A 13,394-nucleotide genomic window follows, 5' to 3' on the forward strand; every position below is an offset into this window, starting at 1 on the left:
CAGGTGATCTGCCCACCTTGGCCTCCCAAAGTGCTGGGATTACAGGCATGAACCACTGCGCCCAGCCTCTTTTTACATATTAAGTAAATTCTTCTTTATTCCACATTCTAAGTCCTCAAAAATTATACATTCACATTTACCAAATTACAAACTCAGCTTTTACCCATTTACTGTACATAAAACACAATTAATGAGATTAGGCAATAGGAAGCTTTTCTATTGCAAAATTATATTAATGGAGTCTCCCATGGGCTAAGCTGCTCTCTCTGAAAATCAAGCACATTCCAGAAATCACATTAAAACTCTTTAAGTCCTCCCGGGGTCCCCGGGGTCCCCAGGGTCAAGGGAAAGGAAGACTAATGTGGCTTCACAAAGAGGCTCACTTGCTCTGAACATTTAACTGTGGATTTGGAAAGATCTGCTTTGTGACTTGTTTCCCACGTCTGAAAGGAAAGAAATCCAGAGAATTTTCTCCTTTCATGCCAAAACTTGTTATACTGGCAGCCATTCCCCTATAAATGTTTCCCACAAAGATGGGCACTGACTTCCACCAGGGGTACATCAGCATTAGCTCCACGGTGAATAACAGAAGGCTAAATGATTCCCTTGTAGGAAATAACTGAAGGGAAGGAAAGATGACTGTCTAACTTACTGTATAAGAATATTACCCTAGCTTGGGTTCCCCCATAGATAGATGCTGACACGGGATTTAAGTGCAGGTCATTTTTGTACGTAGAGATCCCAGAAGACACTGGTAGGGGATGAAAAAGTGAGATGGGGAGAGGAAGGTGGTCAATAAAGGGAGTATTAGCAAACAAGTCATTACTTGGGTAACTGGAGTGCAATCCCACTGGGGATTTCTGAGATTCCAGGGGCAAGGGAAGTGATATTTATAAATCAATTCTCATCAGTCATTGACTGAGGACTGCTAGAGGTAAGGGATGGTGATTCCCTGGCATTTCCAGTCTGTCCCATGGGTAAGCAGAGAGGACCCTGCTGGTCAGAGAATGTCCTCCAGCAAAAAGACGCAGAGGCTGGCAGTTAAACACTGGCCCAGTGGGCACTGAAATGGTAAAGCCTAAGGGGAAAGTGGCAGAGAAACGACAGCCTCTACTACAAGTACTGGCTTCTGCAAAGAGCATTTTCTAAGAATGGACGTTCTCTTATGAAGTCATCTTTATATGAACAAAGCTTAAAGGAAGAATGCTGGAAAGAGTTCAATGAGAGCTGAAATCCTGGAAATATGTTTAGAAGCAGGTCATCTTGGTTCAGATTGAGTGGACTAGATCTACTGGTAGGACTTTCAGAGTTGTTTGGGGGTTTTATTTGTGACAACTCTCAACAGCTTGAGAGTCAGAACAAGTTACAAAGAGAAGCAGATCTTGTATACCTGACTGGAGAAAGCAGCTCTGCCTTTCATTCTGGCAGGTGGCACTTCATCTGCTGTGGGCTGATCCTTCACAGAGCCACTGTGTCTACTCTTTCCAAAATCAAGAACCTCACATACATGTACACATACATACATGCTCACTCAGGGGACCACAATATTAGAGACACTGCATTAATTTGTTTTCATGTTTGGACATATTTTTAAGACATCTTACCCCTTCAAACAATAAACATTCTAATTATGTAAATATGTATCATAGAGGCCAGGCATGGTGGCTCACACTTGTAATCCCAGTGCTTTGGGAGGCTGAGGCAGGAGGATCACTTGAGTCCAGGAGTTTGGAAACCAGCCTGGACAATATAGCAAGACCCAATCTCTACAAAAAAAATTTAAATTGCCAGGTGTTGTGGCACATGCCTGTAGCTCCAGCTAACCAGGAGACTGAGGCAGGAGGGTCTCTTGGACCCAGGAGTTGGAGGTTGCACTGAGCTATGATCATGCCACTGCACTCCTGCCAGGGTGACAGAGATCCTGTCTTTTAAAAAGAGATATATAATACAGATATACACACATTCCACAGCAAAGAGATCTTGAAGTCCTACTATGTGCCAGGCATTCTGCTAGGTCATGGGGATTCAGAGATGTAAGGCCTGGTTCTTGTCCTTGAGGCATGCACAATGTCAGTGAGGAAGATTTCCTTGTAAGTAGATACGTTATACCTCTACAATGGAGTCACTGTCACATGTGTCAACAATGCATGGACAATCATGTGTAGGCTGTAGAAGGCAGAAATCTTAAGCCACTTGAATATTTGGGATGAGTCTAAGTTTTCCAGGCGAAGGAAGAGGGGAGATTTCTGTCCAAATTGTTTCCGTTAATGAATCCACTGAAAATCCCCATACTGACTTTTGAAAAGTCAAGCTTACATCAGAAAGTCAGCAGTTAGAAAGATGGAAGGAAAAGAAGTTACATGATAGCTTCACGTCAAGGAGAGATGAGTTGAATCTGACCAAAGACAGAAAGAGAAGAAAAAAAAGAAGTAAAGGTATACCTATTATTTAAACTCACAAAGGCATTGTTTAAAATCAAAATTGGGAGAGAAAGGAGGTGAGAAGGAACGGAGGTGAATCTTCACTTTTCTAGAGAAGACTCAACATATAGTGTCTAAAATTGATAAATGCATAATTAAACAAATGTTAACATAGTATTTAGACTACTGAAGTAACTACTGCAATAAAACTGGAAACTATTAAAACAGCTTGTCTCCAGGGAGTAAGACCGGGTATGAGAAGGGATGAAGTGGGGTGACTCTTCATTATAAGATCATTTGTATGGTCTGACTTTTTAAAAATCAAGTATTGGCTTTTCCAGGCCGAGCGTGGTGGCTCACGCCTGTACTCCCAGCACTTTGGGAGGCCGAGGCAGGTGGATCACTTGAGGTCAGGAGTTCAAAACCAGCCTGGCCAACAAGGTGAAACCCCAGCTCTACTAAAAATACAAAAATTAGCCAGGTGTGGTGTCACAAGCCTGTAGTCCTGGCTACTCAAGAGGCTGAAGTGGGAGAATCGCTTGAACCTGGGAGGCAGAGGTTGCAGTGAGCCAAGATGACACCACTGCACTCCAGCCTGGGTGACAGAGCAAGACTCTGTCTCAGAAACAAAAACAAGGAAAGTATTGGCTTTTCCAAAGAGCATTTTCTAAGAATGGATATTCTCCCATAAAGTCATCTTTATATGAACAAAGTTTAACAGGAGAACTCTGGAAAGATTTCAACGAGAACTGAAATCTTGGAAATATGAAGAATTTCAGTGGATAAATTAATGGAAACATTTAAAATCAATGTACATATTACCTTGATGAAGTAGAAATTTTCAAGTTCAAGCTGCTACACTCTGCCTGCTATATTATACCATCTCAAAATTATACATGTTCAATCAGTTTTTTTAATTAAAGAGCAGTCCTAATTATATTTCCTAGAGATCTTTCCTTCTCTCCTCTTCTCATTCGCTTCTTAGGATAAGGAAACATCTGGCAGGCTTGGTGGCTTGTGCCAGTAATCCCAGAAGTTTGTGAGATCGAGGCAGGAGGATTACTTGAGGCCAGGAGTTTGAGACCAGCCTGGCTACATAGTGAGACCCTCTTCCCTTCAAAAAATAAAAATAACAAATTAGCCAGGCTTCATGGCACTCACTTATAGTCTAGCTACTCAAGAGCCTGAGTTGGGAGGGTCCCTTGAGCCCAGGATTTTAAGGCTGCAGTGAACTATGATTGTGCCACTTCACTCACCTGGTCAACAAAGTGAAATCCTGTCTCTAAAAAAACAAGTGGTTGGGAGATTCTCCTGCTCTATACCTGCAGAGCAGACAGGAGGCCTTACTGGTCCTGTGCATCTTAATCTTTGCTCCATCCCCTTCCTCCCCCGCATTACAACGCCCCGTGGAGCTCAGGGGAAAATACCCAGTTGCTGCCTTGAGCAGTAGACTTGCCTCAGAGCTCCTAGCTTACTGTTTACATGCAGGGTCTGGAACTAAGCAGCTAAATTGGCTGTGTGTTTGTCCCTTTAGAACTGATTGTCAGTCCTTCCCCCTCAGTCCGTTCAGTGGATTCTGAACACTGGCCGGGTGAAGGTCTCATTGCCCAGAGCTGAGATCAACCGCTAACAAGAAGAAAACTATTTCAGGCCAGAGGCCATGGGAGAAATGGCGGGGAAGCCAGGCTCTTCTGTGGATGACACGCCAGGCTCAGGTGGCCAGTGAGGACCATCTTTGTGATTTGTTCATTCATTTTTTTACCTGAAATGGAGACTGATGTGGCTCCCGGGAGGGGGCTATGAAGAGGACAAGGCCTGTGAGGTGCTGCCAATACTTTCTTGCCTCACAGGCTGATGAGAATAGACAGAACCACAGCACCATGAAGCCCACCAGCAGCGCCCCAGCTCCCCAGCCTCGTGCCTGCAACAGAGTAGGTGGTCACTGAAGGTTTCATTTCTTTTTAATCTCCCATAGTAGAGAATTTCTGTTTCTACCATTATGACACAACTGTTGCAGCTATGAGGACAAATCTTTTGAGCCTTTCTGCAGATCTGGGTGCCTTACCCCCAACTTTCATATCAGAGACATCTAGTTGCCAAATTAAGGGTCTGTTTTGAATGGTTTCTTACTCTGTTTTGTGTTGCTATAACAGAATACCATAAAAAAAAAATTTGTTTTGTTTGAATTCTCTTTTTCAGGCAGCCCCCACAATCACAGCAGATTCAGAGAGACTCCCATAAATGTATTTCTTACAGTTCTGGAAGCTGGGAAGTCCAAGGCTGAGGGGCTGCTTCTGGTGAGGGCCTTCTGGCTGCATCATAACATGGCGGAAGGGCAAGCAGGCGTGCGAGACTGGAAAGCAGGCTGAATATCATCCCTTTATCATGTGTGAGACAGGAAATCAGGCCAAATTTCATCCCTTTATTGGGACCCCACTCCCAGTGACAACAGCATTAATCCATCATGACCCCTCATGACCTAAGCACCTTTTAAAGGTCCCACTGTTAATACTATTACAATGGCAATTAGATTTCAACATGAGTTTCAGAGGGGACATTCAAACCACAGTAGTCCCTGAATTGGCATTCTCTTGTGTTGGCCAAGAGCCATTCTCTGAATCACAAATAAAATGAACGCCTGGGCAGAGGTTGGGAAGCCTTTCTAAGAACCAGAAATCTGTTCTATCTGTGGAAGAAGAATGTCCTATTATAGTGAGCAAGAGATGGACAAAGCAGAAATGATATGTGCTGCTAGGAGCATTATTTGGCTCTCCTGTCTGTGACAGCCACCAAAGGCAACAAGAATAATGAAAAGAGATATGGTGTAGACAGGCTGACAGAAATGTCTGGAGGGAGCTCTTAGAGTGACTTAAACAGCCCCAACCTTGTTCTAGGATCTCACTAGACTCAGTGAATCACTTTGAACACAAATTAATCCAGCTACCAGGAATCTAAGAAAAAGAAATTGAAAGTTATTATTTTCTATTGTTATGACTTCTCATCCTTATGAAAGTGTTCTTCTTTTGCAACACTTTGCATATTGATCACAGATTTTCTTCTCAATGCTCATTCACTTATTCAACAAGAATGCATTGGGTGATACATTGAGGAATGCATTGAATGTATGTGAAGGTGCTAAAAGGAATGTTTAGAATAGCTATCCTTTTGGTGTGCTGAGAGTCTTCAGAGCATCTCCTAATCACTCTCTTAGAGAAGCAAATACAAACCCACAATAACATGGAAGATGGTAGAATGTTTAGCTTTTTATTTCCAAGGAATTTAATTTTCAAAATAATAGTGGCACATTTTTCCCAGTTATAAAAATGATGTGTGTTCAGCTCACTGTAAAAATAAAAACAGAAAAAGAAAAATCAGACAATTTTTCTTTTTCAGAGTCAAAAAACATCCTAAATCGTAGGGCATGGTGGCTCACACCTGTAATCCTAGCACTTTGGGAAACTGAGGCAGGCGGATCACAAGGTCAGCCGTTCAAAACCAGCCTGGCCAACATAGAGAAACCCCGTCTCTACTAAAAATACAAAAATTAGCCAGGTGTGGTGGCGGGCACCTGTAATCCCAGCTATTCCAGAGGCTGAGGCAAGAGAATCACCTGAACCCGGGAGGCAGAGGTTGCAGTGAGCTGAGACCACGCCACTGCACTCCAGCCTGGGTGACAGAGTGAGACTGTCTCAAAAAAAAAAAAAAAAAAAAAAAATCCTAAATCTACCATTCAGAGCTCAACTAACATTATGGGGTAGATCCTTCCATATTTTTTCTATGTACATATAAACATATTTGATTTTCAAAAATGAGATTCCATTAATCATGCTACTTCATATCCTGCTTTATTCTTTTATTATGGTATGTATGTTATTCATTTATTATAGAGCTATACAATCATTTTAAATGGCTGTATAGGCTGGGCACAGTGGCTCATGCTTGTAATCCCACGCTGAAGCAGGAGGATTGCTTGAGGCCAGGATTTCAAGACCAGCCTGGACAACATAGCGAGAAACTATCTCTACAGAAAAAAAAATGTTTTTAATTAGCCAGGCATTTGATTGTATGCACCTGTAGCCATAGCTACTCGGGAGGCTGAGGCTGGAGGATCACTTGAGCCCAAGAGTTCGAGGTTGCAATAAGCTGTGATCATACCACTACACTCCAACCTGGCTGACAAGGCAAGACTCTGTCTCTAAAAAAAAAAAAAAATTGGCCTGGCACGGTGGCTGACACCTGTAATCCCAGCACTTTGGGAGGCAGACGTGAGCTGATCACTTGAGGTCAGGAGTTCAAGACCAGCCTGGCCAAAATGGTGAAACTTCATCTCTACCAAAAATACAAAAATTAAAGGGGCATGGTAGTATATATCTGTAGTCCCAGCTACTCAGGAGGCTGAAGCAGGAGAATCGCTTGAACCTAGGAGGCTAGGAGGTGGAGGTTGCAGTGAGCCAAGATCACGCCACTATACTCCAGCCTGGGTGACAGAGCAAGGCTCCATCTCAAAAAAAAAAATTAAAATTAAATAACTATATAGAAGTAACCAAGGTTACTCTCCATTTTTTGCTATGATAATCTTATGTGTACAACTTTGTTGTATTATCATAGTACATTCAGAGCATTTACAAACATTTATTAAATGCTATTCACTGGGCTCAGTGCAGTGGCTCACGCCTGTAATCCCAGCTCTTTGGGAGACCAAGGCAGGTGGATCGCCTGAGGTCAGGAGTTCGAGACCAGCCTAGCCAACATGGTGAAACCCCATCTCTACTAAAAATGCAAAAATTAGCCAGGCATGGTGGCATACCCCTGTAATCCCAGCTACTCAGGAGGCTGACGTGGGAGAATTGCTTGAACCTGGGAGGCGGAGGTTGCAGTGAGCAGAGATCGCACCACTGCACTCCAGCCGGGGCAACAGAATGAGACTCCATCTCAAAAAAAAAAAAAAATGCTATTCATTGGACTTTAAGCACACAACCTGGTATTAATACAGATGCCAGTCTCCATCTGTGCACAGCAGAGAAAGAAGTAGAGTAATAGGCAAGACCATATCAAGACTCAGACTTGTCTAGGGGTTAAATCTAAGTAAAACACCCAACAAACAGCAGAGCCGGACCTAATCTGCCTTTGCTCTTTGTTATCCTTACAGTGGTATGGATACTACTCAGAGTCCTAATCAGTGAGTTACTTTTGTCATTGTTAAAATAGCATTAATAATATTACCTGCCCCGTAACGGTATTTGCAGGATTGCATAACATAATGCACATAAAGCACTTAGCACAATGCCTGGCTAACAAGTAGTGCTCAGTAAAGGTAGCTATTATCATTATAGGGAACTCTTAACATCCAAGTCAAGGGTCTTGCAGGGAACAAGGATTACAGCTGATTTCTAAGCTTTTCTGGGAGATGTCCTTACCAGGGACATCATTTAACTCAGAGCATGACCACATTCATAAAACAGAAGACAGTCTCCCAGGGTTCAGTCCGCTGGCACCTTCACTCCACCTTCCAGCCAAAGGTCAAGTATTTCCAGCACTCAGACATCATCCTTGATGCCTATAAAACTCTCAAGTTATTTTTAAATTCTTAAGTCCAAACAAGCACTAAGAAAGTGTATGAATTTTTTATTTTATTATTTGTTGAAATAAGAAAAACTTCACAGGGAGGTCTAAGAAACTGCTTTTCTCAATTCTACTCTATTTCATCTCCTCTCTCTGTCTCCCTAAAGAGGATAAATGTTTAATGCTGACCTTATTCCTCAAAACCACCCTGTAAAATAGGTATCATGTCCACTTTACAGACAAGAAAAGCAAAAGCATGGCAAGTAAAATGACTTGGCCACATCTAGGAAGTAGCCAACCCAGGATCCAAACTTTTATCTGGCTGCTTCCAAAGTCCAGGTGCTAATAATCTTACACTTGAGTGTACATGAGAATCACCTGGGATCTCAATACTGATTCTGTAGTTTCAGGTGGGACCCTGGAACCTGCATATTCCCAAATATGCAGGTGATCGAGATCCAGGGAGGTTCACAGGCCATAATTAGAGAAACACTGTCCTTGGCCATACAACATTAATGAAGTCCAGCCATAGGATTTTCTTCTCCTAGTCATTACCAAAGTAGCTTTATTGAAACTTCAGTACACCTCAGAATTAGCCATGTGTATATCCTGGATATTTGCCAATTTATGAAATGGTTCCCAGACCAGAGCTGGGACACACCTGGTTTCCGGATGTTTCTGCTGCATCTGTAGAAATCTTCACCATATCATCGCCCCAGGACAGAGTCAAATCAATTGGGTGACCTTTCCTTCTCTGAAATCCTAATCATCTATCCCCTAGGCCAGATTATCTTATCAGCTACTGACCCAGTTAGCTTTCCTACTTCACAACAGGTTTCTAATGCTTTATGTCAGTGTGAGAGAAATGGCAAGTTGGGAAAATTTGTGACATTGCATTCAGGAGGCAGTGAGGTAGAGCAATAGCTTTCAAACTAGATTCCATCAACCCTCAGGACACTGCAGAGGTGCAACAGGGAAAAGGGGCAGGGGAGAGAGAAAAGCCTGGGAGCTCTGAGCCCTTCATTAGAGCAGCTGTGCTCAATTCTGCTTCATATACAGAACCGGGATTTCTAAAAGAGTCACTCAAAAGCTTTTCAGTGGGGGGAGTGGGAAGGGAAACTGAAAAGAGAGAAGTCACAAGAGCTGGATTCTAACCCCAACTCTTCAGTTAACTTGGTATGTGACTTTGGGCAAATTGCTTCATCTCTCTGGGCTTCGGTCTGCTTACCGGAAAAAAAATGAAAACATTGGAACCATTGATGCCTGTCTTAGTCTGCTAGGGCTGCCATAAAAAATCCCACAGACCTGGTAGCTTGAACACAGAAATTTACTTTCTCACAGTTCTGAAGGCTGGAAGTCCAAGATCAAGGTGTGACAGGTTCGATTTCTCCTGAGGCCCCTCTCCTTGGCTTGTAGATGGCGGCCTTCTTGCCGCGTCCTCAGATGGCTTTTTCTTGGAGCATGCGCACCTGGTATTTCTTCCTCCTATAAAGAGATCAGTCATATTGGATTAGGGCCCCACCCTGAAGATCTCATTTTATCTTAATTGTCCTCTTAAAGGCGCTATCTCCAAATACAGTCGTATTGGGGGTTAGGGCTTCAATATTTACACTTTGGGAGACATAATTCAGTCCACAGCCTAAGGCTCCTTTCAGTAAACACCAGGGGTTGTTGAGCAGCAACTATGTGCCAGGCTTTCCTCTGGGTGCTAGGGACACTGTGGCTTCTCAAAAATGCCCGTTGTCTGCAGCCATACCCACCTGAACATGCCCAATCTTGCCTGATCTCAGAAGCTAAGCAGGGTCAGGCCCAGTTACCACTTGGATGGGTGAAGTGGCCCTTGCACTTGAGGAGCTCACTGTCCAAAAGGTGAGCTCCATTAACGGATGACTGGGGCAAAACAGAAACCCAAAAAAGATAAGAACAGTTCAGGAAGTGGCTCCCAGGGAAGCAACCTAAGATGAAATGATGAAATGTGAAACATGAACAGGTGTTCACCAGTTAGAAAACTGGAGGAAGGGCTTTTCCAGCAAAAGGAGCAAAGGCCCAGAGGTGGAGCAAAGGCCCAGAGGTAGAACACATCCAGGGTGCTGGAGTGCAGTCTGAGGTGGGAAACCCCAGAGGAGGGGCTGGAGCAGGGAGAGGCCACAGGAGGCCTCATTAGCTGTGCTAGGCAGTTATGCATATTCAGTAGAAGGTATCACTGCTAAAAAGTTTTAAGCTGGGCTGGGCTCGGTGGCTCATGCCTGTAATCCCAGTACTTTGGGAGGCCAAGGCGGGTGGATCACTTGAGGTCAGGAGTTCAAGACCAGCCTGGCCAACATGATGAAACCCCATCTCTACTACAAATACAAAAATTTGCTGGGCATGGTGGCGCACACCTGTAGTCCCAGCTACTTGGGAGGCTGAGGCAGGAGAATCAGTTGAACACGGGAGGCAGAGATTGCAATGAGCCAAGATTGCACCACTGCACTCCAGCCCAGGTGACAGAGTGAGACTCCATCTCAAAAAAAAAAAAAAGTTTTAAGCTGAAGAACAATCTATTTATTTCTGCATTTTAGAAAGCCCCAAAATTCTAAAATTCTATTTAGCAGTCTCTGGCTTTCCATGACTGCCACGTCATTTGTGGCTAACCAGTGTCAGCCAGCTGGTGATGTATTGCACAGCTACTAAATGCCTTAATTCTTGGTTACTTCTCTCACAGGGCCGTGGGTGTGTGTGCTTATGTGTGTGTGTTCATTAGATCTTGGGTATAAATTGCCTTCTGGACTCTGCAGTCCGCTTCCCTTTGGTCTAGAGAGGAAGCATACATCATACTCAAATGTCTTATTTCATTACAATAAACACCCATAAGGATAATTAGGACCAGGACTATTACATTTGTGGTAACAAAGGCATGTAAAACTTCATGATCCTGAACTCTCTGCCTGCTAAAGATTCACTAAGACCATAGGTTCACATGCTGAGAAACGAAAGCCTCACAGCTTCCTGGAGGAGAGAATGCACTTAAGGTTTTAAAGAGCTGTACCTTACCACAATATCACTGAAACTTACAGAGTATTTAGAAGAAAGGGGAACATCACTTGGGTTTTTATAGATAATTGTTAGTAATCTACTTATTAAACACACTGATTCTAGTGCTTTCTGAGAAATTTGCAAAAGACAATCCTTTCTATTGTAAATTCCTTGCTAAAAGAGGATTAAATAAAGCATTAAATAAAGCAATTAGATGCACAAACACAGATATATCAATATACTTTGTTCAGGTAATATAATTAATGACAACATCTTCTCCCAACCCAGAAAACCTTTCCATAAAGGTAGTAGAAAAAGAAAAGGTGTATTACTGAATAAGAATTAAACCAGAATGGGATCCACATCACAGGCAATTTGCTAAGAGACTGCTGACAGAAAGAAATGTCACCCCTTTTTTTTTTTTTTTTTTTTTGATACAGAGTCTCACTCTGTTGCCCAGGCTGGAGTACAGTGGCACCATCTCGGCTCACTGCAACCTCCACCTCCCAGGCTCAAGTGATTCTCCTGCCTCAGCCTCCCTAGTAGCTGGGATTACAGGCACCCACCACCACACCCCGCTAATTTTTGTATTTATTAGAGACAGGGTTTCAACAGTTGGCCAGGCTGGTCTCGAACTCCTGACCTCAGGTGATCTGCCCGCCTCAGCCTCCCAAAGTGCTGAGATTACAAGTGTAAGCCACTGTGCCCAGCCGAAATCTCACCCTTTTATATAGCCAGTACCACCCATTACATAAAAGTTCTCAAGACACACAGTAACTAGTCCTCAAGTAAGAGGACTGGGCAGCACCATTTATTACATATAGTGCATCCTAAATTCACCTGGTAATTGAGGGTGATTATCTGTTAATTAATTGGTTTTATACAAAGGGAAAATAAACTTCTCTTGTCTTTATGACAGGTAGTTTTACAACTGGAAGCAAGGCACCTCCCAAAGTTAGGCTCCTGCCCTCACTCAGAAACTGGGAGAGAGGGGCACAATCTCCTCTGATGTTTACATTTCAAAGATATGGCTTCCAGTTACTTCAGAAAGACATTTATGGGCCACGAAGCTGGAAAGGGCCAGGCGCGGTGGTTCATGCCTGTAATCCCAGCACTCCGGGAGGCTGAGGTGGGAGAACTGCTTGAGCTCAGAAGTTTGAGGCTGCAGCGGGCTGTCATCTTGACACTACACTCCAGCTTCAGTGACAGCATGAGACACTGTGTCTAAAAAAAAATTATTGGCTAGGCATGATGGCTCATGCCTATAATCTCAGCACTTCGGGAGGCTGAGGCAGGCGGATCGCTTGAGCCCAGGAGTTCGAGACCAGCCTTGACAACAAAACTCTGTCTCTACAAAAATTAGCCAGGCATGGTGGTATGCGCCTGTAGTCCCAGCTACTTACGGGGCTGAGGTGGGAAGATCGCTTGAGCCCAGAAAGTCAAGGCTGCAGCGAGCTGTGATTTTGCCACTGCATTCCAGCCTTGGTGACCGAGTGAGACCCCATCTCTAATATATATATATATATACTGTCAATATTTATTGAGCTCTTTCTATGTGCCAGGTTTATACTTTCTGTTATAAACACCTTATAAGCATCATTTCAATCTTCATGACAGGTTGGAAAGGAAGTACCCCAGCCTATTGAATGGGGAAATTGAAGCACAGATATGTAAAACATCTTCTCTAGAGTTACCCAGCTGGTAAGTTGTTGAATTAGGGTTGAAAGCCAGGGAGAATGGCTCCTGAACACACACATTTAACCACTGAACTATATGCCGCCGAGAAAATCAGGAAACATATTATCAAGGAAGGCCAATTGACTTCAAGATGATATTTGGAGAAAGAACACCTGTGGGACAGACCTCGCTGAGAGAGAGAGAGTACCTCTGGCAGGAAGGGAAGTAAGGACAGAATCAAGAAACGGGAAAATGATACGAAGCTGGTAGTCTTTCCCACACAGGAAGGAGAGGAAGCTTAAAGGAACATGTATGAAGCTCAATATTAAATGACAATGAACAGAGATGAATTTATTATTTTGAAAAGCCAACACTTTCAAAGTATTTCAAAGGACAGCACTTTCAGGAAAGTGCATGTCAGTCACTAAAGTAGGGACAGAACATTAAGATCACCCCCTAATTTATTAATTCTTTTTTTTAGATGGAGTCTTACTCTGTCACCCAGGTTGGAGTGCAGTGGCGTGATCTCAACTCACTGCAACCTCTGCCTCCTGGGTTCAAGTGATTATCCTGCCTCAGCCTCCCAAGTAGCTGGGATTACAAGCACCTGCCACCATACCTGGCTAATTTTTGTATTTTTAGTAAAGACAGGGTTTTACCATGTTGGACACGCTGGTTTCGAACTCCTGACCTCAGGTGATTTGCCTGCCTTGGCCTCCC

At 43.4% G+C, this 13,394-nt stretch overlaps 1 protein-coding gene and 1 long non-coding RNA gene across 3 annotated transcripts in view, besides 1 other annotated feature; one reads left to right on the plus strand and one right to left on the minus strand.

Moving 5' to 3' along the window:
* LHFPL3 (LHFPL tetraspan subfamily member 3) overlaps positions 1-13,394 on the plus strand; it is a 579,959-nt gene that overhangs the window by 557,995 nt on the left and 8,570 nt on the right. The window lies entirely within an intron of this gene.
* Positions 8,031-13,394, minus strand: part of LHFPL3-AS2 (LHFPL3 antisense RNA 2) — a 32,018-nt gene continuing 26,654 nt past the window's right edge. The window contains exon 4 of the long non-coding RNA NR_027374.1: positions 8,031-9,467. This is a non-coding gene — a long non-coding RNA (LHFPL3 antisense RNA 2). The remainder of the gene's footprint in view (positions 9,468-13,394) is intronic.
* Positions 10,820-10,959: an enhancer, noted in NCBI's record as "active region_26446". NCBI's record gives its function as "activates an Ori minimal core promoter by ATAC-STARR-seq in GM12878 lymphoblastoid cells {active_cell/tissue: GM12878}" and the evidence as "EXISTENCE:reporter gene assay evidence [ECO:0000049][PMID:35858748]".

The sequence above is a fragment of the Homo sapiens genome, chromosome 7 (assembly GCF_000001405.40).
Source record: "Homo sapiens chromosome 7, GRCh38.p14 Primary Assembly".
Taxonomy (NCBI): domain Eukaryota; kingdom Metazoa; phylum Chordata; class Mammalia; order Primates; family Hominidae; genus Homo; species Homo sapiens.